Here is a 26,668-nt window from a genome sequence, read left to right on the forward strand (position 1 = left end):
TGGTTTGGTTCCTGAATAAACATGGTAAAGGGCATTTTTAATTCTGTGTCTTACACCTGGCATACATATCATCGCCTGTTGTTTGTGTTGTTGCTGTGGCCCCTGCTTAACAAGTAGAAAACAAATTGATAAAATGTGTCACTCACACCATCAAAATGTCACCCACAGCCCTCTCTGAAGGCTCAGGGACTATGGGGGAAATGTGAGTCCATGAGATTGTAAGAGCTGGATTAGAGGGCTGGGATGTGGAGAGAAAAGTGACTCCCTCTTGGATGCTAATTCTCTATGCTGACTTCTGATTAGCCCCAGTCCCAGGACTGACTCCTGATTCCCACTTTATTTACCATCCCTATTGTAAGAACATGTCAACCTTGATGTTATACAAATTCTAGGCTATGACACATTAGCATTCTTACCTGTTCTGGACAGTAGTAGCCTTTGTCTTGCACAGAGCATGTATACTCTTCCCCTGTGGTATATAAGCCCTGGGTGTGGGGGTAATAAGTGCAGAAACCTACCTGTCTTCCTGCCATCCAAGACCACGCTTCTGTCTGTAAGTTCCCCAATAAAACACTCTTTACTGACAACTAGATTTGTCTGTCTTGTTCCTTGGTTTATTGGCTCCTTTGGCATTTGGGGGGCACTTTGCATAGATGGCCCTTTCATGGAACAGAGGGTCTGTGTGGGGCTGGGAGCCCAAGTCAGCACTTGCAGTCAGAGCCTAGAACATGTGCTGAGGAGACAGAGCTAGACCTGTTAGCAGAGACAGACCTGTTAGCGGAGTGGATAGCTGGGCCAGCAGGTCTGAAGTAACGCTATGGAAGAGCAGGCCAGTAACAGCTGAAGAGCTTCAGAAACTCCCACTTCTAACAAGGTCACTTCCTCTAAGAGGGACTACTGTTGTATCATAGTACACAGCTGTCTCTGCCTGGCTGTCCTAGTAAATATGCAGCATTTGGGGGCATCCACACTACTGGAACAGTAGCCATGAGAAGAGTCCATTGTGCCAGCTTAATTGCACCCAACTGTACAATGAGAACATGGGGATCAGTGTGTTCTGCTACTTCTCTGCTTAGCATTCCTGATATACCTGCTTTACATAGGCACCATGTGGCACCGTGGTGTGTGCCTGTGCCACTTTGAATCACATTTGGGTATCTATTGGAAGGCTTCTTCGGGACTGTTGTGACACCAACTACACTATGGACTGATCCCTGTCAGAAGGTAACAAAGGGGCAAGGGACAGCATTTCCAGTCTAAGCCCTGGAATGTGCGTGGCATCAAACTGTTTTGCATTTGTGAGCAGGAATACAACTGCTGGACAACAGATATTCCATCAGCCAACAGAAACTGTGACTGGCTTTAAAGAAAATGGGCTTCCCTTGGTCTTGGGAACACAAGACTCAGCAGTATAGAAACAGAAATGGTTGCAGGTGGAGGAAGCACTTTCGCCGGAGTCAGGAAAGCATGAATAACACAAAATCTTCAGCTTTTCCTCCCTTCTCTCTCCTGAGCTTTCTGCACCTCTGCTGTAGCAGTGATGGCAGCAGTGTGGAGAACACAGCCTCAGGGAACAACCAAGGTCCAGGATCACTAGCAAAGGTTATGAGAAACTATGACTTCCTTTAGAAAAAAAAAAAAGGGAAATGAGAGTGCCCAAGGTCTTAGGAGAGGGCTGGTGCAGGCCTGGGGCGTAGTAAATTCTTTAGCTTGTCTAGATTCACCATGCCAAGTGGGGAGGTTGCTTGGGTCAGACTATATTAAAGGACAGCATCTCCACCCTCCCCTAGAGGTCTCAGAATGTCCACTGACTGTGGCTTTAGTGGTCCTTGAACAGAAATTTGGTAACATGAAGAGTAGCAGATGCTGGCATGGTAAGATTACAAATGTGTATCAGAAGAATTATTTTGTGGGTAACAGAAAAAACAACATATAAAGAAACAAGTTAATACCATGAGAATGTCATTAGCCAAACTCAGAATGTGGATCATTCTACAGGACAAGTAACCTGGCTTTTTTGGGGAAACAGAAGCATAGGAGAGCCAGGGTGACACCATTTTAAAGTCAACTCCATCTTTCAACTAGCAAGGCATATTCCTTGCCAGTCACAACCCATGGTCATAAGAGGTTTACAGCTGATTAAACAACTTAATAATGCCTGCAAGAACAAACGCCTATGACAGACAACAGAATGTCCACATGTCCTGACGTCACATTATAATATATGCTTTTAAGATTATTATAGTCATGCTTTGATATACTAACTAAAATGCCAAGGATAACTTTCTTTAAATCAATAGGTCCTAAATTTTGTCATGCTGTCAGAGCACCCACACATAGACATTTAACTTAGCTTTTATGTAGATTAAACCCCTACATTAGAAGAGTTTACAACAAAGATGGTGCATTCTTCCTTTTGCTTTCTGAGGACACCTACTCTGTATCTGAGTAACTTTCAATAAACTATCTCCTTCTCACTGCACTCTGTGACTCACCTTTAATTCCTTCCTGTGCAAGATCCAAGAATACTCTTTTGGGGTCGGGATCGGGACCTGTTTTTCTGGTAACAGTTTCTCCAACAAATCAAAGCCTTGAGAAAAAAAAAATAGGTAGGGTGGGTGGTATGGTATAGAAGAACAGAGAATAATGAGACATAAGAAGCAATTGCAATGTGTGGACCTTCTCTAGCTTCTGTTTCAGACAGACCAATTGAAAAAGACAAGACAGATATTTGAATATGCATTGAGTGTTTAGCAAAATTAGAGAACTGTTGTTAATTTTGTTAGTGTGAGAATAGCATGGCTTTATGTTTTTTAAAAACCCTATTCTGTGAAAGATGCATGCTGAACTATTTAACTGTGAAATTGTATGTAAAGGATTTGCTTTTACAATCCTCCAGAGATGAGTTTATAATGATATAAATGATGTGATAAATAAATCAATGGAGGAGAGGAGGCAAAATCTCTCCTGCAGAAGAACTCCAAATAAGGTAGGTAGATACTTTGTCCTTAAAGGAACAGCATTAACTCCCTCTTCTGGAAGTGTGAATTCTTGATATCATGTAATGAAAATGGTACCTCACTTGTGGCTTTCCTCCCCCCGAATCCATAACCTCTACTTATTATGAAAAAAAAAAAAAAACAAAAAAAAAACACCGAATTCCAATAGAGGAACATTCTATAAAATACCTAACTAGTATTCCTCAATAACGTCTAGGTCATCAAAAACAAGGAAAATCTGAGGAATTGTCACAGCCAAGAGGAGCCTAAGGAGGCATGACAACCCCATGTAATAGGGTATCTTGAATGGGACCTTGGAGTAGAAAAATATTATTAGGTAAAACTCAAGGACACCTGAGTAATGTATGACTTTTGGTTAAAAATAATGCATCAATATTGGTTCAATAATTGTAAGAAATGAACCATACTAATGTTAGATGTTAATAACAGGAGAAACAACTTCTCAATTTTCCTGTAGTTAAAACTGTTCTAGAACTGAAGTCTATTTTTTAAAATTCTCCTGGAAAAAAGTGGAAACATATGAAATATGATGGACAAATGTTAGTAATTATTGAATGTGATGATGGATAATGAGAATTCATTATATAATTCTGTTTTTGTGTATTTGAAGTTTTCTATAATGGAAAGTTTGAGGCTGGGCACAGTGGCTCAAACCTATAATCCCAGCACTTTGGGAGGCCAAGAGTTCAAGACCAGCCTGGGCAATGTAGTGAGACCCCATCTCTACCAAAAAACAGAAAAATTAGCCAGGTGTGGTGGGCTTGCACCTGTAGTCCTAGCTACTCAGGAGGCTGAGGTGAGAGGATCACTTGAGCCCAGAAGGCCAAGGCTGCAGTGAGCCATGATGTCATTGTACTCCAGTCTAGGTGACAGAGAGAAACCTTGTCTCCAAAAATAAAAAATAAAAAAAGTTTGAACAAGAAATAAAGAAATATGGAGATAAGGATAAGAAGAAGCTATTTAAAGCACTAGAGTAGCTGCTTTTTTAAATTATGGTTAAAAAAATATATAATAAAATTTACCATTTTGCCATTTTTAAGTGTATAGTTCTATGACATTAAGTATATTCATGCTGTGTAACCATCACCACCCTCCATCTCCAGAACTTTTTCATCTTCCCAAACTAAATGCTAGGTCTATTAAGCAACATCTCCTCACTCTCTCCTCCTCCCCAGCCCCTGATAACCTCCATTCTACATTCTGTCTATGAATCTTACTAAACTAGGTGAATCATGTAAGTGGATTCATACAATATTTTTCCTTTTCAGTCTGATTTATTTAATCTAGCTTCATGTCTTCAAGGTTCATACATAATACAGGAAAATAATTTCCTTCCTTCTTCTGAAAAATATTCCACTGTATGGATCTACCATACTTTGTTCATCCATCGATGGATGTATACTCTGTTGCTTCTACCTTTTGGCAGTTGTGAATAATGTTGTTATAAACATGATGTACAAATATCTGCTTGGTCTCTGCTTTAACTTCTTTTGGGTCTGTACCCAGAAGAGGAATTGCTGGATCATATGTCAATTCTATGTTTAATTTTTTGAAGAACAAAAAGTGGCCGCTTCTACAAAACAGAAATTTTCAGATTAGGAGATGTGGGACAGGGAAAAATTCCTGTCTCTGAAAAGTTAAGAGTTTTCACTATAAGCTTTGTAGAACCATTTTTAAATAATATATGATAAAAATGAAGTAAAGTATGCAATAAAACTCATCTTGTGCTAAGTACTGGAGATACATGGAGGGAGCCCTCAGTCCTCTGGGGGAAGAACCTGGTTATAGAACAGTGTGATCACAGGTGCAACACAGAGAAGACTCCAGGGGCAAGCACAGAAAATAGCCATCAAGGGAGATTCTTTGCACGCCATGCAGAAGTGCCCTACAGGAGGTGACGTGGGAGTGAAGGAGGAAAATATGACATTCTGAGTTGGAGAATTGGAAGATTAAACTTGGAATGATGTCAGCACTGAGATTCTGGGATCATATTGTACAACTGGCCCCATCTCAGCACTAACACTGTGAAATCTTACCTTTCTTATGTCTTCAAATTGTGGCCCTATATTTAGCTTCTATATCTTTCTTTGACTAAATCTCAAAACTAAAATTGGTCCTGATTCCAGGGGAGGTGTTTCTCTGACTCCTCTCTTTTGAATCTCATAGCCTGACATTTTCTCTTCATCTTGAAGACCATATTCAGGAGGGACCCTAGGAACTCTGTATCTCAGCATGTGAGGCTTCAGGCCAAGGGGTGCTAATTTGATTCTGAAAGATCTTATCTGCCTCCAGCGCCATAAGGTCCTGATGAAATGTCCAGCATCTTTGTGGAAATTCAAGTGTCTCCATACAGCATTATATGTCTTGGAGATTATGTATATGAAAAGCTTTACAGATAGGTGTGTCTCAGTGATGCTGTGCAGAGTAACCTGTGGCCTAAGTCAAGTCAGAAAATGCTTTTGACTCTATATTTCTCAAAAATGTAAGTCTTAAAATTTGGCTATGGATGGGAAAATATTACATAATTGAAAGGATAAATATAAGTATGCCAATCAGCCAAAAACACTGCAAATGTTTAATGCAGATTTAAGTTTTCCCTCAAAAACTGTTAATAAATTAATAGTGCAGCTTACAAATGATGAAAAGAGCTGAGACGTTTAAAAAAACTTTCCAAGTGTCAGGTCCTGGTACTTTACATTTATTCTACCTCCTAATCCTTATACTAGGTCAAAGCTCATTTTATGTCTTCAAGATTCAGATGTAACACTGGGAATGAGAAAGGTTAATATAAGTGATATGTCCAGGACTATACTTCTAGTAATTATAGCTCACTGATGGAGAGAACATTAAAATCTGTTTGGCCTTCACTTAAAAACAAATAATATTTGTGTTATAGAAGCAAGACCTTTTTAGTCACAAGTTAATAATTTTAAAGAAAAGATTCAACATGTAAATTTATCTGGAAAGGCCAGGGGTGAGGCTGCCTAGAGACATGATTAGATTCGGAGATACATTTGTCATCAGATCTCTCTGTACTTCTAAAGAAGATAGCCAATATCAGCTTATCAGCTCCAACTCCTCTCATATTATTCTACCTTAACAGCTTCAGCAGAAAAATAGACATCTTTCTCACAATGTTCATAAATAAAGAACCAGAGAAGATGACCTTTGGACCAATACCTGTTGTTATGGAGATGTGGTACAGTGTGGGAAACTCTGATTGGTCAGGGCTGGGTCATGTTATTTCCTCATCCCCTGGTCCATTATATTATTTCTTAAGTTATTTAAAGTCATGGCTACTATTTTTATTTATTTTAATTGACATAATTATACATATTGATATAGTACAGTGTGATATTTTGATACATGTATACAATGTGTAATAAGCAAATAAGGGTATTTAGCCTATGCATCACATCAAACGTTTACCATTTCTTTGTGATGGAAACATTCAAAATCATATCAAAAAGATAATCCACCACAATCAAGTGGGTTTCATACCAGGGAAGAAGGGATGGTTGAACACACTCAAGTCAATAAATGTGACACACCACATAAACAGAATTAAAAACAAAAATCACATGATCATCTCAATAGATGCAAAAAAAACATTCAACAAAATCTGGCATCCTTTATGATTAAAGCTCTCAGCAAAATCGGCATACAAGGAACATACCTCAATGTAATCAAAGCCATCTATGAGAAACCCACAGCCAACATAATACTGAGTGGGGAAAAGCTGAAAGCATTCCCTCTGAGAACTGGAACAAGACAATGATGCCCACTCTCACCACTTCTCTTCAACACAGTCCTGAAAGTCCTAGCCAGAGCAGTCAGACAAGGGAAAGAAATAAAGGTCATCCAAATCGGTAAAGAGGAAGCCAAACTGTCACTGTTTGCTGATATGATTGTATACCTAGGAAACTCTAAAGACTCCTCCAAAAAGCTCCTAAAACTGATACAAAAATTCTGCAATATTTCTGGATACAAAATTAATGTACACAAATCAGTAGCTCTCCTATACTCCAACAGTGACCAGGCTGAGAATCAAAACAAGAACTCAATCCCTTTTACGACAGCTGTAAAAAAAAAAAAAAAAAAAACAAACTTAGAAATATACCTAGCCTAAGGAGGTGAAAGACCTCTACAAGGAAAACTACAAAACTCTGCTGAAAGAAATCACAGATGACACAAGCAAATGGAAACACATCCCATGCTCACGGATGGGTAGAATCAATATTGTGAAAATTACCATACTACCAAAAGAAATCTATAAATTCAATGCAATTCTCATCAAAATACCACGAACATTCTTCACAGAACTAGAAAAAAAATCTTAAAATTCATATAAAACCCAAAAAAAGCCTGCATAGCAAAAGCGAGACTAAGCAAAAAGAACAAATCTTGAGGCATCACATTACCTGATTTCAAACTATACTATAAGGCCAAAGTCACCAAAACAGCATGGTACTGGTATGAAAATGGGCCCATAGACCAATGGAACAAAATAGAGAACCCAGAAATGAACCCAAATACTTACAGCCAATTGTTCTTCAACAAAGCAAACAAAAACATAAAGTGGGGAAAGGACACCTTATTGAACAAATGGTGCTGGGATAATTGGCTAGCCACATGTAGGAGAATGAAACTGGATCCTCAACTCTCACCTTATACAAAAATCAACCAAGATGGATCAAGCACTTAAAACTAAGACCTGAAACTATACAAATTCTAGAAGATAATATTGAAAAAAACCTCCTAGACATTGGCTTAGGCAAGGATTTCATGACCAAGAACCCAAAAGCAAAATGCAACAAAAACAAAGATAAATAGCTGGGACCCAATGAAACTAAAGAGTGTTTGCACGGCAAAAGAACAGTCAGCAGAGTAAACAGACAACCCACAGAGTGGGAGAAAATCTTCACAATCTATGCATCTGACAAAGGACTAATATCCAGAATCTACAACAAACTCATACAAATTAGCAAGAAAAAGAACAAACAATCTCATCAAAAAGTGGGCTAAGGACATGAGTAGACAATTCTCAAAAGAAGATATACAGCTGGCCAACAAACATATGAAAAAATGCTCAACATCACTAATGATCAGGGAAACGTAAATCAAAACGCCAATGTGATACCACCTTATATCTGCAAGAATGGCCATAATCAAAAAATCAAAAAATAATAGATGTTGGCATGGATGTGGTGAACAGGGAACACTTCTTTTTTTTTTTTTTTTTTTTTTTTTTTGAGACGGAGTCTGGCTCTGTAGCCCAGGCTGGAGTGCAGTGGCGCAATCTCGGCTCACTGCAAGCTCCGCCTCCCAGGTTCACACCATTCTCCTGCCTCAGCCTCCCGAGTAGCTGGGACTACAGGCGTCACTGTGTTAGCCAGGATGGTCTCGATCTCCTGACCTCGTGATCCACCCTCCTCGGCCTCCCAAAGTGCTGGGATTACAGGCTGGAGCCACCGTGCCTGGCCTGAACAGAGAACACTTCTACACTGCTGATAGGAATGTAAACTAGTACAACCACTATGGAAAACAAGGTGGAGATTTTTTTAGAGAACTAAAAGTTGAACTACCATTTGATCCAGCAATCCCACAATCCCACAATGGGTATCTGCCCAGAGGAAAATAAGTCATTATATGAAAAAGATACTTGCACACACGTTTATAGCAGCACAATTCACAATTGCAAAAATGTGGAACCAACCCAAATGCCCATCAATCAATGAGTGGATAAAGAAACTACTCAGCCACAAAAAGGAATGAATTAATGGCATTCACAGCAACCTGGATGCGATTGAAGATTATTATTCCAAGTGAAGTAACTCAGGAATGGAAAACCAAACATCGTATGTTCTCACTCTTAAGTGGGAGCAAAACTATGAGGATACAAAGGCATAAGAATGACACAATGGACTCTGGGGACTCGGGGAAAGGGAGGGAAGAAGGTGAGGGACAAAAAGCTACAATTTGGGTGCAGTGTGTACTGCGTGGGTGATGGGTGCACATTTGCTCCTTTTAAAATGATACTATTATTATTTTGCTGTTGTTTGAGTTTCTTGTAAATTCTAGCTATTAATCCCTTATCAGATGAATACTTTGCAAATACTTTCATTCTCTAAGTTGCTGTTTTATCTCTGTTGATTGTTTTCATTGCTGTACAGGAAATTTTTAGTTTGATGTAGTCCCATTCATACATTTTTGCTTCTCTTGCCTGTGCTTTCAAGGTCTTAATCACAAAATCTTTCCTGCGTCCAACACTCTAAAGTGTTTTCTGCATGTTTTCTCCCAGTAGGTTCATAGTTTTGGGTCTTGCATTTAAGTCCTTAACTCATTTTCAGTTGATTTTTGTGAATGGTGAGAGATAGCAGTCTAGTTTCATACTTCCTAATATGGATATCCAGTTTCCCCAGCATCATTTATTGAAGAAACTGCCCTTTCCTCAGTATATGTTCTTGGTGATTTTGTTAAAAATAAATTGAGTGGCTGGGCACGGTGGCTCACGCCTGTAATCCCAGCACTTTGGGAGGCTGAGGCAGACGGATCACGAGGTCAGGAGTTTGAGACCAGCCTGACCAACATGGTGAAACCCCGTCTCTACTAAAATACAAAAATTAGCCAGGCGTGATGGCACACGACTGTCATTCCAGGCTGAGGCAGGAGAATCGCCTGAACTCAGTAGGTGGAGGTTGCAGTGAGCCGAGATCGCACCACTGCACTCCAGCCTGGGTGACAGAGCGAGACTCCGTCTCAAATTAAAAAAAAAGAAAAAAGAAATTAACTGTAAATATATGGATTTATTTCGGGGTTCTCTATTCTGTCTCATTGGTTTATGTGTCCGTTTTTATGCCAATACCTTGCTTGCCATTTTGGTTACTATAGCTGTATATTTTGAAGTCAGGTACTGTGATACTTCCAGCTTTGTTCTTTTTGCTCAAGATTGTTTTAGCTATTCAGGGTCTTTTGTGGTTCCATACAAATTTTAAGATTTCTTTTTCTATTTCTATAAAGAATGACATTGGTATTTTGATAGGTATTGCATTGAATCTGTAGATTGGTTTGGGTAGTATGGTCACTTTAACAATATTAATTCTCCCAATCCATGATAATGGAATATCTTTCAATTTTTTGTGTCCTTTTCTATTTGTTTCATTAGTATTTTATAGTTTTCATTACATACTTGGTTAAATTTATTCCCATGCTTTTTTATAGTTACTGTGAATGAGATTTCTTTCTTGATTTTTCATCATTTTGAGTTTGCCTCTATGGCCTTTATTGTGTTTAGGTACATTCCATCTATACCTAATTGGTTGGAAGTTTTTATCATGAAGTGATATTGAATTTTATCAAATGCTTTTTCTGCAGCTATAGAGATGATAATATTAGTTTTGTCTTTCATTCCACTAATATGCTCTATCATGTTTATTGATTTGTATGGAAAGTCTACAGTTTTTTTATGTTGATTTTATATTCTGTAAATTTACTAAATTTGTTTATCAGTTCTGAGAGTTTTTTGATGGAGTCTTTAGGTTTGTGTATAAATAAGATTATGTCATCTGCAAACAGCAACAATTTGACTTCCTCTTTTCCAATTTGGATGCCTTTTATTTCCTTCTCTTGCCTAATTGCTCTGGGTCGGACCAGTACTATGTGTTTTTGTTGTTGTCATTGCTGTAATCTTTTAAAATTTTCTATCCATTTCCATAGGAATCAGTCTAGTACTATGTTAAATTTGGTAAAAGCAGGCATCCTTATCTTGTTCCAATTCTTAGAGGGAAATCTTTCAACTTTTTTTCCATTATGTATGTTGTCAACTATCGAATTGTCATATGCAGCCTTTATTGTATTTAGGTACATTTCATCTATACCTAGTTGGTTGAGAGTTTTTAATCATGAAGTGATGTTGAATTTTACCAAATGCTTTTTCTGCATCTAGAGATGATCATTTTATTTTTGTCCTTCATTCTGTTGATATGATCTATCACGTTTATTGATTTGCAGATATGTAACCATTCTTGCATCCCTGGAACAAATCCCATTTGATCATGGCATATAATCTTTTTGATGTGTTGTGGATTTAGTTTGCTACTATTTTGTTAATTTTTGCATCTGTGTTTATCAGCGTGTAGTTTTTTTGTTGTTGTATCCTTCCCTGGTTTTGATAACAAGGTAATGCTTGCTTCCTAGAATAAATTTGAAAGAACTCCTTCCCCCTTCAATTTTTTGGAATAGTTTCAGATGAATTGGTGTCAGTCTCTCTTTAAATGTTTGGTGGAACTGAACAATGAAGGCATCCAGTACTGGGCTTTTCTTTGTTGGGAGACTTTTTATTCCTGATTCAAGCTCATTACTCATTATTGGTATGCTCAGGTTTTTAATTTCTTCTTGGTTCATTCTTGGTATATTTTATGTGTCCAGGTTAAACTTCAGTTGCCTTTATAATCTAATGAGAGCTATGGACCAAAATTTTGGGTAAAGCACTTTCCGTGGCAGTTAGATTTTTTAAAAAAACTTCTTTCATTGCCCCCACCTTTTTTGTTGTTGTTGTTTCAAGTGAGTTATGGGTTTCTTTTTAACTGAATTGTATAAGCAAAATATCTCCAAGTAGCCTTGAATTAGTAACAAATCAATCTTTTGTTTACCAGTCTTGTTTGCTTAATTAGCAAATGTGGGGAGGGAAGAATTTTAGCTGTTTTTTTTTCTTCACCTTTTTCTTTTTGGCTTTTGCATGGCACAAAAAACAAAATTTTTCTGTTGAACAGGGATACCTTCTATTATTGCTCTGAGATCAAGATTTTGACCTATTTGGTCTGAGAGCCTAACTTTTATAAACATTTATTTTTTTTTCTTTTATGTTACTAATTTTTCAATTAAGTGTTTCATTATTGTACACAGTTGTTAGGGAAACCTAAATTTATATTTATAAAAGGTGTCAGCCAGGTGCGGTGGTTCACGCCTGTAATCCCAGCACTTTGGGAGGCCGAGGCAGGCAGATCACAAGGTCAGGAGATTGAGACCATCCTGGCTAACACGGTGAAACCCCGTCTCTATCAAAAATACAAAAAATTAGCCGGGTGTGGTGGCGGGCACCTGTAGTCCCAGCTACTCAGGAAGCTGAGGCAGGAGAATGGTGTGAACCCGGGAGGCGGCGCTTGCAGTGAGCCCAGATCAGGCCACTGTACTCTAGCCTGGGGGACAGAGTGAGACCCCATCTCAAAAAAAAAAAAAAAAGGTGTCTAGGTGGTTGATTACCATGGAGCTATTGTAATCTGTAAAGCCATTAATTTCAAAGCCTTTAAGGCTGTTTTCTTTCCTTGACTGAAATGCCATAAGCAGTGAGTTTTATCTCAACACCTGTAGAAATGTCATCATGTTCAAAGTAGGCAGAAAAAAAAAGAGAGAGAGAGAGAGAACTTCTACATGTTAACTCTATAATTGCTGGTTTTTAAAAATAATGACCATTTCAGTTCTGAATTTTCCTTCATTTTGCCTATCTACTTATAAATGTGCACAAGAAAGTTAACATTGATTTTGAACATTTCAAACCAATTAATACATCATTGTATTTGTGTGACAACAAATTCCATACAGAAGCTCTTACAGCACTACTTTCAGATGAAAGCAAGTCTGGATTCATCGTAATAGATGGTAGTGGTGCACTTTTTGGCACCCTCCAAGGAAACACAAGAGAAGTCCTGCAAAAACTCACTGTGGATCTCCCAAAGAAACACGGTAAAGGTCAGTCAGCCTTGCGTTTTGCCTGTTTAAGAATGGAAAAGTGACCTAACAATGTTCAGAAAGTAGCAGAGACTGCTGTGCAGCTGTTTATTTCTGGGGACAAAGGGAAGGTGGCTGGTCTAGTTTTAGCTGGATCCGCTGACTTTAAAACTGAACTAAGTCAATCTGATACGTTTGATCAGCGGTTACAATCGAAAGTTTTAAAATTAGTTGATAGGCCGGGCGTGGTGGCTCATGCCTGTAATCCCAGCACTTTGGGAGGCCAAGGCGGGCGGATCACGAGGTCAGGAGATCGAGACCATCCTGGCTAACACGGTGAAACCCTGTGTCTACTAAAAATACAAAAACAAAATTAGCTGGGCGTGGTGGCGGGTGCCTGTGGTCCCAGCTACTTGGGAGGCTGAGGCAGGAGAATGGCGTGAACCTGGGAGGCGGAGCTTGCAGCGAGCCCAGATCACACCACTGCACTCCCGCCTGGGCAACACGGCAAGACTCAGTCTCAAAAAAAAGAAATTAGTTGATATATCCTATGGTGGTGAAAATGGATTCAACCAAGCTGTTGGGCTATCTACTGAAGTCCTCTCCAAAGTGAAATTTATTCAAAAGAAGAAATTAGTAGGGATACATTGATGAAATCAGCCAGGACACAGGCAGGTACTGTTTTGGTGTTGAAGATACACTAAAGGCTTTGGAAATGGGAGCTGTAGAAATTCTAATAGCCTATGAAAATCTGAATATAATGAGATATGTTCTTCATTGCCAAGGCACAAAAGAGGAGAAAATTCTCTAACTCCAGAGCAAGAACAGGATAAATCTCATTTCACAGACAAAGAGACCAGGCAGGAACATGCGCTTATCAAGAGCATGCCCCTGTTGAAATGGTTTGCTAACAACTATAAAAAAGTCGGAGCTACATTGGAAATTGTCACATATAAATCACAAGAAGGGTCTCAGTTTGTGAAAGGATTTGGTAGAATTGGAGGTCTCTTGTGGTACCAAGTGGATTTCCAAAGAATGGAATACCAAGGAGGAGACGATGAATTTTTTTACCTTGATGACTACTAGGTAGTCGACATGGGTCCGGCAAAACATGCCTCACTCTCCAGCATCCAACCCAAGGAGCATACTCATGATGGAATCCAAACAGATCCCTGCCTTACAATTGGAACATTTCCAGAACTTAATCCATGAGCACTGGATATTGAAAAGAAAACAGAAACAAAACCAGACCCAACCCTACACTTTGGTTTGTCACGGTGTCAGCGTAGCAGCCTACAACTAAGTTCCTAAATGCCACTTTGGACTAATTTAAAAAAGAATCCCAGTTTTTACTTTTACTCGATGGTGAAATTGGCTGCTCTTGTATTTTATTTAAAAAATGATTTTTTTAACCTTTATACAAATAAGCAAAAATACTTTAACTGCTGTAAACCTTCAAAAGTTAATAGAAGTGAGATCGTACTGCTTTCTTATTTTGATTGGAGAGAAATTAAATTGCTACATTTTGCAGTGACCCATTTACATGGCATTCTCAGCTTAGACTGCATAAGAAGAAATATATGTGGTGAAATGTTGGAACCATTTCTCTCTTGGTCTCTGTTTAATGATGAAAGAGTGAGCTAATAGGAGGCAATTTCAACTTCACTCCCTCACGCTACCCCTTCCCCCTCCAGACTGGCCGTTTCAAGGATGAAAATTGCATTGCAAAATCAAACTGACTCATGAAGCATTTGGGCCAGTGCACTGTTTACTTCCATCTGTTTGCAGACACATTTGTGCCCGGTGTTTGGGAGCTCTTTGTATCAATGTTCCGACAAGGGTCCCAATAACCTTAACCTACTCGAAACCAGTTTGGGATGGATATGATGGGGCTTCTGTGCTATTGCTGGGATTGGGAGAAATAAAACATGCAATTTAAGTGGAAGCAAAACAATTAAAAATAAAATAAATAAATCCATTGCCTGATTCCATGTCTCCCTCCAATTACCGCCCCATTTCTCTGACACTCCTTATAGAATAATTCCTTAGTCAATTGTCTCATGATGTTTTTAATATATCAAATGGATTTATGGACAGTGTTTCAAAAGCCAAATACTTCTACAAGGCTTGTTATGAACACAGATGTCCCCAATCTTTCATGTACACCATTTCCTGAATCCTAGAGGCAATCTACTTTATTCTGCCTAATTTTTTGATCGTTACATCTGTGCCTCCAAATAGTGTGTTATAGTGCCGTTTTGTTTTTCACTCTTATGTATCATCCTTAGTGTATAGCTCCCTTTCATATACCCCTCTCCTCTCAATATAGTTATTTTATAATTTTGGTTAGCTGGGTGTTCACTATTTATATTATTATGACCACAGAAATGCTATTCACAGCTAGACTAGGAAATGCTATTCACAATTAGATTAGGAAATGCTGTTCACAATTAGATTAGGAAATGCTATTCACAAGGATTATTTTCCTTCCTGGAATTGACTTTTTAATTTCCCTGGAATTAATAAATGTTTTATCCCTTCATGTGCTTAATTTCTGTTGTACTCATTATAAAATCTCTTCCAAATTTCCCTCCAAGGCCTCTGCTATAGTTTGAATGTGTTCCCCAAAGTTCATGTGTTGGAAACTTGATCCCCAATGCAGTGATATTGGAAAGTAAGGCCTAATAGAAGCTGTCTGAGTCATGAGCGCAGAGCCCTCATGAACAAATTAATATCATTATTATGGCAGTGAGCCCATAATAATAATATTGTCCTCTCTCTTGCCCTTGACCCACTTGCCATGTGAAGACACAGCAAGAAGGCTCTTGCCAAATGCTGGTGGCTTGATCTTGGATTCCTAGCCTCACAACTGAGAAAACAAATTTCTGTTCTTCATAACTGACCCAGACTATGGCATTCTGTTATAGCAGCATAAATGAACTAAGACAGTCTCCATGAATATATTCAACCATGCCCCGTGTTCTACCAACCTCATCTTTGTGAAGACACTTCCCTTGGTCCTGCCACACGTGGACTGGTGCATGCACATCTGGGCTGATTTCCAAGATCGTCTTCACCTCATCCTGGGCATCCCTCTGGCTCTCTCTTATGCTGGCTCTCCTATTGCCTGGATCCCATGTGTCCCCTTTTTTGGTTTTCTCCATCGTTTTTGTTTCTCATTTCATCTGTGTTCCTAAGGGAACATGGAAAGTAAAATCTGAAAGCCTAAGCTTCTGAAAATGTCTTCGGGCTACCCTAGCACTTATTCCAACCTGGACTTGGTATGGAATTCTGTATTGAAAACATTTTTCCTAGGAATTTCCATGACATTCCATCAACATTTTTTAGCTTCTAATGTTGTTTTTCTTGCCTTTTGATGTTTTTGGGATTTCTTCTTTTCCACCCACCTTCTAAAATTTCATTGTGATGTGTCTTGGTGTGGGTCTGTTTTCATCTACTATAGTAAGAACTTGGTTGGGGCCATTACAAGTTAAATTTTTGTCTGTAAACTTGGAGAAATTTTTTTATTTTAAATAATTTCTATCTTTCCATTCTTTTAGAATTTGTATTATTAAGTTGCAGGAAATCCTTGACTGATAGCCTAGTATTCGTATAGTTTTTCTGTCTTTCTTGACATTGTTTTTCCATTTTTAATATTTAGTGGTAGTACAAATTTACTCTTCCAAGTGATCTATTGAAATACTTATTTAAATGATCACTTTTTGATTTCCAAGAGTGCTTTTTGGTTCTCTGATTGTATATAATTTTATAAAATCCTATTCATCATTTATAAATGCCATATCTTATTATTTCTTTTAGGTATTATTGAGAATAGTGGTAGTGGACCTGTTAGATCTCCTGGTTATCTGCTTTCATGGTACCATGAACTTTTCTTCACCACACTTAGCTCAGCAGTAATTTTATATTTCTCTTTGTAAGTTCTGCTAAATGTGCATCTCCTTCATGACAGTGCAAACATCAAATTGCCAGCATCTTACTTTTGCTCTTCACTGTATCTTCAGGGTCTAGTAGATCACATGATTCATCAGAGGACTTGAAATACATGCTGAATGAGGAAATATAAGTGTGGTTAGGCAGGGAAATCAGACTTCCTTGATCAATTGCCCCTTGATGTTCTCCTGAGCACTGTATCTCATGACCTCCTGTCATAGAACATTCAGGGACATTGAAAGAGTTCACTGGCATGGGATACAGCGTCATATCCACCACCAGATGGACAGGGAATCAGTGAAAGATGATTCCATTAAGAGAAAATTCCCTGGGTCCACTCCACCCCCACCACCTGCTTAACCTCTCTGAGTCTCCCTTTCCCTGTCTATACAAAGATATCACATATCGGGCTTCTCATGGGTTTGCATTGAAGATCAAATTTGACTCTCTCAGTAAAACACATGGTATTATACCTTGAGGTATATTAAGTGTTCTGCTACTCATAGCTACTATCCCTATATTGATTACAGCATTTGGATTGTTTCAATCATTTTGCTTTTATAAACCAAAATTCAAGAAACATCCTTGAACATATATTTTTTAGAATGTGTGCAGTTATCTTCTTAGGAAAAATTCTTGAAAGAGAAATATATGCATTGAAATGTAAGTCCATTTATATTGTTAACATGTTTCGCAAAAGTCCCCTCTAGAAATTTATACCCCAGTGTTTTTTGTTGTTGTTTTGTTTTGTTTTGTTTTTGAGACAGAGTCTTGCTCTGTTTCCCAGGCTGGAGTGCGGTGGCACGATCTCGGCTCACTGTAAGCTCCGCCTCCTGGGTTCACACCATTCTCCTGCCTCAGCCTCCCAAGTAGCTGGGACTACAGGCGCCTGCCACCACGCCCAGCTAATTTTTTTTTTAATATTTTTAGTAGAGACGGGTTTCACCGTGTTAGCCAGGATGGTCTTGATCTCCTGACCTCGTGATCCACCTGCCTCGGCCTCCCAAAGTATACCCGTTTTTCATCAGCCTTCATGACAGTGTATTTTCCCTACCTCTGGATAATATGCTTATCATTTACTTTCACATATGCCAAACTGACAGATTTTAATTTTCATTCGCATTTCTAATGTCATGTTCTCATTTTTCCTCATATTCATTAATCAGAGTATATTGTCTGATATTTGATTTATTCTTTCCCATATTGCTTTCTAATATTATTATTTTTCTATTGGGATGACTTAAAAATGTTGAATTTGACTAAGAAAAAAAGCAGCTCTTGACTTCTGACACTGACAGTAGGTTTCAGTACTGTTAGAAGCTGTCCTACTGCTCAACACTAGGCCATATTATTCTTTTCTTGGACATAAACCATATTACACAACATCAGACAAGGACACTCTGGGAACATGATAAAACAAGACAAAACAGGGGCACTACATAATTTAGTATAAGCACAGACAAAAACCAAGGCACTGTGTACCTCACAAAATACCAAACCTCTCCCCCTGCTGGCTAATATGAGTGACGGCTGTTTCTTTACCAGCCACAACTTTATCCTTGCTCTGCTCTGCATTTATTATGGGTAAGATTTATTGAGACAGTCGTAGAAATGTTCCTGCTTTTTGACAACACCCCATCTACAGTCAACCCCTACCTCGTTAGCTCTCCCCAAAAACATCCACTAAAAGACCAAATCCTATATTGCATTTTTTCTAATATCCTCACGCTAAGATGGTGTGCATTCTCTCTTGTGACAATGAGTAATAAACCCCAGTTGTTCAGCTATAGATGTTCCTGGTGGTCTTTGGCTGAAAGACATTGAAATATGCTACCTTTTGTCTTTCCAATTATTTATGTGTCTTTGAATTTGATCACAGGCATATGTTTGTATATTTGTGAGTCTGTGGTTGACATAGAGAAGTTTTATTTTTTTATTTATGGCTTTTCATATTTGGGTCATGCTTACAGAATCCTTTTCTACCTCACAATTGTAAAACTTAACATCTATTTTCATCTAGGTACAGATGATATGAAGAGAGGGAAGTCCCAGAGTGAAGAGAAACACACAGATATGTTTGATTTGGGGAGAAAGCTGGGGGGAATGAGCAAGAAGCAAAGAGTTCTAAGGTGGAGTTTTAACATTTAAAACCTGGTCAGGTGTGGTGGCTCACGCCTGTAATCCTAGCACTTTTGGAGGGCAAGGTAGGCAGATCACTCGAGGTCAGGAGTTCAAGACCAGCCTGGCCAACATGGTGTATTCACCAAAAAATACAAAAACTAGCCAGGTGTGGTGGCGTGTGCCTGTAGGCCCAGCTACTTGGGAGGCTGAGGTGGAAGAATCACCTGAACCTGGGAGGCGGAGGTTGCAGTGAGCCATGATTGCCCAACTGCAATCCAGCCTGGGTGGCAGAATAAGACTCTATCTCAAAAATGAAAAAGTTTAAATCATTTGCTTATAATTTTAAAATATGTCTACAAAGCCTATAAGATATTTTATATGGCAACTTCAATAAATACTTTCTCTTGGGCTAAGTAATGACTTATATACCTCCTTGTGTTCACCAGGTTATAGAAAACAGTAACACCAAGAGTCTCAATGAAATATTGACAAGGATTAGCTCTGGTGATAAGCATTTTTGAAAATGTATGACCTTGAGTTGATAAATCATGTTTTGGTAATCTATACGTACACTCTAATTGTTAAAATACATATTGAACTTTCTTGGGCCTGCTGTATTTTAGGGATATGTCTAAGACCCACATAGCCAAATCCATGGGTTCTATGTGAAGGTAATTTTAATGTATTTCAATCTGGGAGTCACAAGGTATCTTTTTTTGTGGGGGAGATTGAAAACTAAGAGCACTCTAGATAAGCAAAATGGTAACTACTAGCTACACATGGCTATTTATATTTCAATTAATTGAATAAAACTTTTAAAAAATCAACTCTTTATCACACTAGCCACATTCCAAGTGCTCAATAACCACATGTAACTAGTGGCTCCCATATTGGACAGTGCAGATATAGATCAATTTCATCATCACAGAATGTTCTATTGAACAGCACTACTGCTATAGAGATTTTTATGCTCCTCCCAAAATAAAACCTAATCCCCAGTGAGATGATATTTGGAAGTGGGTTTGTTTTAGAGGAAGTGATTATGTCATGAGGTCAGAACTCCCATGAATTGAACTTGTACCCTTATAAAAGAGATTCTAGAAAGCTGTCTTGGCCCTTCTGCCATGGGAGGATGCAGTGAGAGGACAGCTATGAAGAAGCAGGCCCTCACCAGACACAGAGTTAGCTGACACCTTGATATTGGACCTCCCAGCCTCCAGCACTGTGAGAAATATCTTTCTTTTGTTTATAAGCCACCTAATCTAGGGTATTTTTGTTATAGCAGCCTGATGGATTAAGATAACTGCTCTTGGTGCTATGTGGGCCTCAAGTCAAGTGCATTAGACACATCTAAAATGAAAGGGTGACTGGTTGTGGTGACTTACGCCTGTAATCCCAGCACTTTGGGAGGCCAAAGCAGGAGGATCGCTTGAGCTCAGAAGTTTGAAACCAGCCTGGGGAACATAGCAAGATCCCATCTCTACAAAATATTTTTTAAAATTAGCTCTACAAAATATATAATTTTTAAAATTAGCTGGACATGCTGGCAAGTGCCTGTAGTTCCAACAGCTTAAGAGTCTGAGGTGGGAGGATGGCTTGAGCCCCCCGAGAGTTCGCCACTACAGTGAGCCATTATCATGCCACTGCACTCTAGCTTGGGTGACACTGTGAGACCCCATCTTGGAAAAAACAGAAATGAAAGGGCCAATATTATTTCTCATAGAGATTGCAAATTCAAAGTGGGTCAGGAGTGAAATCTCTATTTTGTGCTTTTAGGCGCAAACCATTCCCAGCTCCAAAATGGAAACACATTTGCCACCTCTGTTCCCAGACTAAGGACACTCTCTGCATCCAATTTACAGGTGATAGGTTCTCTTCTATAAGAGCCCAGGGCAAGGCAAACTTAGCGCTAGCTAAGTTTTGGGATGCAGGGAGTCCTGCTCGGGGAGAAAAATTTGGGAAAATGAAGAGGCAAAGGGGCCAGTCAAGAACTCTCCACAGCTTACCCAGAACAGGATTTCTCAAAGTGCAATCTGTGGAACCCTTGTGGGCTGCTGAAACCCCTTCATAGATCCACAAGGTTAAAAGTATTTTTATAATACAATGAAGACATTATTTGTACTAAAGTAAAACTTGACAAGAAGGGAGGCTATGGTACCAAACTGAAATAGTAGTTATTATATTCTTAACCACTTCTTAATTATAGAAGAAAAAACAGGTTTCACTTAAATATGTCCTGGTTGAAGTATCAAAGAATTATTAACTTTATTAAATCTCTATCCCAGAATCCACAGTTTAATATATCTTAAATGAGTAAGTGGGAAGTACGCATAAGGTATTTCTACTACATTCCAAATTAGGATGTTTGAGGCCAGGCGCAGTGGCTCCCACCTGCAATTAATTCTAGCACTGTGGGAGGCCTAGGCAGGTGGATCATTTGAGGTCAGGAGTTCAAGACCAGCTTGGCCAACATGGTGAAACCCTGTCTCTACTAAAAATACAAAATTAGCCAGGCATGGTGGTGCGCACCTGTAGTCCCAGCTACTAGGGAAACTGAGTCACAACAATCACTTGAACCCGGGAGGTGGAGGTTTCAGTGAGCCAAAATCATGCCACTGCACTCCAGCCTGGGTAACAGAGCGAGACCCTGTCTTAAAACGAAAACAAAAACAAATTAAAATGTTTGTGTCCACAAAATCATTTTGTGAGTTGTACTAGTCTATTTTTTATGGAATATCCTTTTTACTTGAAAGAATGAATGACAGAAATGATTATCATTTAGACTTGAATATTTGGCTGACACTTTCTCAAAAACGAACATAACCCTGTCCCTTCCACATAATCAACTGATGGTATTATTCCCAATGATAAAAGGCAAGCTCTCAAGAGAAAATTAGAATCCTGGGGAACTTGTATCCACCATCATAAGCCTGATGGCTTCCCAATACTTAACAATCTTTTCTGGTAATATCTGTGGTAATATTAAAAAATGTGATTTTTTGATAACTTGTAGTTAAATGTGTCAACACTGGAAGACATAATGTGGTGAAATTTTGTTTCTTTTTTTAAAAGTCATGTATTATACAAGAAGCATTCAATGTGGAAGTCGGACCTATATATTTTAATGTAACAGCATGTGAAATAGTTATTGATAGTTTCATGTTCCACATTACAAATAACCTTTAAGAAGCTAACACTTCTATCATTTTAGTGTAGTATCAAGGATGAACATCCAGTTTTCTAAAAATGTTATTAAAAACATTCCTGGCCTAGCGAGGTGACTTATACCTGTAATCCCAGCATTTTGGGAGGCCAAGGCAGGAGAATCATTTGAGCCTAGGAGTTCCACCCAGGAGTTCGAATGAGACCCCCATCTCTACAAAAAATAAACAAAATTAGCTGCGGTGGTGTTTCGTGCCTGTGGTCACAGCTGCTCATGAGGCTGAATTGGGAGGATCACTTGAGCCCAGGAATTCGAGGCTGCCGTGTGCTATGATCACACCACTACACTCAAGCCTGGGTGATAGCATGAGACCAAAAGAAACAAACAAACAAACAAAACCCCCCAACAAAACCCAAAACAAGAACAGCAACAAAAATATCATTGTGTGAGGATGGATTTTTTTTCATACACTTCAACCAAACATAACAGATTAACCAAAATAACAGATTAAATGAAGGAGAAGAAAATTCATTAATCTTCTAATGAGACACATAAGAAAAGGATTTACAAACATACAAAATGTAAAAAGATGCACTCTTCTCACTATACTGTTTACTTTGGGAAATACTGACTTTGCATAAAAATATTTCTAACATGCAATGCATTATTAATATTCTAAATGAATAAAATAATTTAAGTGATTTTAGTTTCTAATATGGTAAATATTAACGTATATAACTCACATAAAATTATCTTCAGAGTCCTCACTAATTCCTAAGAGCATGCAGAGATCTGAAACCAAAACGTTTGAGAAACGATGACGTAACTCCTAGCTCTGGATTAAGGGAGAATGTGTGACAAAGAGCATTTGGTATAGGAGGAGAAGGGCCAGGCCTTATCCTGTCTCTAGGACTGTGGCAAGGGCTTTGTGTGACCAGGTCAGCCTAGGCTCAGGCTTAGGTCTGGCCCTCAGCCCCCATCTTGTTCATTGTTTTGTTTTGACAGAAGACTATGCCTGTTCTTCTTCTTGTATCTGAGTTCTGGTCTCCAAGTCTCCAATCTCCTCTAGGACAGCCGTAGGAGTTACTTTTTCTGTCATTGTCCTCACAAGCCCTGGGGTGGCCCCTGCACACAGGAGTCTCTGTGGTATCAAGAGACCAATTTTTAGACCCACCCAGCTCTTGTCCTTCCAGGGCTGTTTCCTGGACTATTCTTCGCATCTTTTCCCCAATCTTTTTCAGGAAATCAAATTCTGGAATTAGAGATCATATCTCGGTTTCTCACCTTAGATAAACTCCTGTTAGGTTTCTAACAGGAATTTATTTTTGGCTCACCTACCCTCTCTCCCTGCCTTTGGCTGTAATAATCCTAGTGCTGGCTCAAATCCAAACTCATGGATGTCTAGACTCTAATTTAATTCACAGTTGGTTGGAAAATAGGGTCCATAAGCCTAGGATCATTTTTTTTTTCTGAAAAGGGAACTATAATTGTCTGCTGTGGTATATGAGGATTGGTGTGGGAGGGAGGCGAGAACAGCATTTGTGAGAAAAGTACAGGCAGCATTGATGTCAACATGAGTGGTTGTTTCACTGTAGCTGCCACAAAACAGCATGTGGTCTGCAGCTACATTAATAAAGATACTGTTTCTAGAATAGGGAGGTGCTGTACACTGGTCATTCATTTAGCCAATATTTGTTGAGTGCTGGCTGTATGAAATGCTAGTTTTACATCTGGAAACTAAAAACAGGCAAAAATTGCTGGCCTTGAGGGGCACATGTTTTAGTGGGAAAACACAGACTATGTACTATAAGCAGAGTAAATAAGGAAAGTGTTTCTGTCAAAAGGTGCTGAGGGGTGTGAGGCAGGTGATCCAGATTGTGGGTGTGTGGGGACAGGGAAGATGGCTGTTTTACTAGGGTGGTCTATGGTCTCACTGGGAATGTGACCTTAAGAGAAAAGATGAATTATCTATGAGGACGTCTGGGGCAGGTTCTTTCCAGGCAGGGGAACCCCCAGTGCAAAGGCACCAGAACAGGAGCACATCTGGGTTGTGGGAGGAGTTGAGGGGGCTCAGATAGCTGCAGCAGTCATTGATATAAGGTCAGAGATTTGGGGAGATCATGTAGGCTTGAGGATACTGGAAGGGTTCTGACTTTGCTCTGAGTGAGATGGGGGAGACACAAACAGCTGTCAGCAGAGTAGAGACTTGGCACATCTTTTAAAAGGATCATCCTGGCTGCTATGCTGAGAACAGAATTGAGAGATGAGGGGTGAGTGAGAAAGTGGGAAAACTGTAGGAAACTAGTGCAGTATTTCAGATTAGCAACTCTGGTTGCTTTGCCTGGGGTGTGAGCAGAGAAAAGAGTGGGAAGTGATTGGATTTCAGACACATTCTCAATATGGACTTCACAGTACTTCCTAATAGATTAAGTCTGGGGTATGAAAAAGAGGAGTCAAAGAGGAACCCCAAAATTTCAGACTGTGCAAGTAGAAAAATGAAGTTGTTGTCAGCACAGATGGGGAAAATTCTGAAAGGGGCATATTTGAGGAGGGGGCACTATAGGCATTCAATTTAGGAAATGTTGAATCTCAGATGTCAGACATTCAAGTGAGGTTGTTGTGTTGGCAGATGGATATGCAAGTTGGAAATGTAGGAGAAATGTCTGGGCTGGGAAAATAGATTTAGGAGTTAATGCCATATTAATGATATTTAAAGCATAGAGCATGCATGAGTCGCCAAGGGAAAGATGGCTATAGAAGAGAAAAAGGACATGGACTGAACCCTGGACCTTCAGTGCTAAGGGATTTCATCAGAACACACTCTGACAGCAGACTGCACAGTTCTAACACCACATCTAGAAAGTAAGTAAATCTGAGAATCTCAAATTTTAGTGTGCGTAGGAATCACCTGGACAACTTTCTAAGATTCAGGTGGTCTGGAGTTGAGAATGAGATTCTGTGTTTATAAAAAAGTTGAGGCAGACACTGATGGTCTTCAGATCACACTTTTAGTAGCAAGAATGTAGACCAGGATTCCCAGGTGGCTGTGCATCAGCCTCACCTGTGGCTTGTTATTCCTGGGATCCATGTTCCACTTCTGAGATGGTGGGTATGGGGAAAGGCCTGAGTATTTTTGTAAAAAATCTACAAGGAATCCTGGTGATCAGCCAGATTGGGAACCACTGAGGTCAGTGATCAACAGTGCCTAGGGTGGGAAAGGGTCTTAAGTCCACATTTAAATGCTATTTTTTCTAATTTAAACATAAAGGACTTCTATCTGTCTATCTATCTATCATCTATCTTCATTAGGCTGGTGTTTATTTTATTTTGGGAAGGTCTGTGAGAATAGGCTTAAAGCTACATAGCTAGAAGCAGCATCTATAATCCCATCCTAGGTGGAGTCTCACATAGGAATCACTGCCCCTGATGCTGGGCACAGATGTCACTGTTCATACCAATGACACTCTAAAGCTAGACACTGGACCTTGCAGATAGAACTGCTATCACGACTGCTCCTGGCAACTGGACATTGCTGCTGCAACTCACACCACACTTACTAAAATGTGTGCACAGTACCAGCTTATGTCACCAGGCTGAGTCAGAATCCAGCAAGTGGTTATCTGCCTGGTGGAACCTAAGCCTCATCCCATATCCAGCTGCCAGAATATTTGGAAAAGTGAGTTTTTCTTTCGTGGAAGAAGTTGGTGTCTGCTTCCTACAATGACTCTTTAAGTATGAAATTCTTTAAGTATGAAATCATACTCTTTAAGTATGAAATTCTCCCTAACATGGAGAGGGTTCAGGTGCTGGGACACAGGAAGATAGAGTGGAAAAAGAATGAAAAAAAAAGTCAATTCCTAGAGCAGTAATCTGAGACTAGAACCTTATCTGGTATATCATAGACACTTGGGTTTTGCTGAATGAATCAGTGACTAATTAATTACAACTTTCAATTTATTTCCTTGATAGTCTGTTATGAAGTACAACTTTTTCCTGATCAGTTTATACTCAGATAAGTAGAGTGGCACTGTGGGATGGTGAAATGATTGCTCAAAACTTATCTCTTGTTAGGATTTTTTAAAATCTAGATGTCTAAGACTTCAGAGGACCTGTGTATACACTAAGATTTTATACTAATATTTATATTTCTTTGTATATGCACATATTTTCTGGAAAGAATATCTGTGACATTTATGTTTTTGTAACCCTATTTTAGGAAACCCTCTCTCAAACCACATTTTCCCTCTGCTCTCATACCACAACAATCATCAACACAGAAGACTTCTGTGACCAAAGATGTGGGGGTTTTTCCCCACACACCAAGCAGTGGACACCAGCTGGGTATCCTCCAGTTCAATGTCAACACTGTCTACCTGGAGATAGCATCATATCCCACAGATTGGGGGCTTAGTCCCCAAGACTACTCCACATCAGACACCAATCGCAGAAGTTCCCACCACCCACTCTGGGCTTCACTAATTTGCTGGAGTAGCTCACAGAATTCAGGGAAACATTTATGTTTACTAGTTTATTATAAAGGATATTACAAAGGATACAGATGAAAATACGTGTAGGGTGAGGTATCAGGGAAGGAGCATGGAGCTTCCATGCCCTTCCTGGGCACACCAACCTCCAAAAACCTCCACTTGTTCAGCTACCTGGAAGCTCCCTGAACCCAGTTCTCCTG

General features: G+C 39.2%; 2 pseudogenes across 2 annotated transcripts in view; one reads left to right on the forward strand and one right to left on the reverse strand.

The window, feature by feature from the left end:
- Positions 1 to 26,668, reverse strand: part of POLR1HASP (POLR1H antisense, pseudogene) — a 60,179-nt pseudogene that overhangs the window by 18,161 nt on the left and 15,350 nt on the right. The window contains exons 4-6 of one of the 2 annotated variants that reach the window (NR_145416.1): positions 16,745 to 16,812; positions 15,737 to 15,939; positions 2,496 to 2,590 (exon numbers count right to left, since the gene is read on the reverse strand). The product of NR_145416.1 is annotated as a POLR1H antisense, pseudogene, transcript variant 2 (transcript). The remainder of the gene's footprint in view (positions 1 to 2,495; positions 2,591 to 15,736; positions 15,940 to 16,744; positions 16,813 to 26,668) is intronic. The other variant, NR_026751.2, reaches the window with a different exon arrangement.
- Positions 12,542 to 14,706, forward strand: ETF1P1 (eukaryotic translation termination factor 1 pseudogene 1; annotated as a pseudogene).

Source organism: Homo sapiens, chromosome 6 (genome assembly GCF_000001405.40).
Source record: "Homo sapiens chromosome 6, GRCh38.p14 Primary Assembly".
NCBI classification, from domain to species: domain Eukaryota; kingdom Metazoa; phylum Chordata; class Mammalia; order Primates; family Hominidae; genus Homo; species Homo sapiens.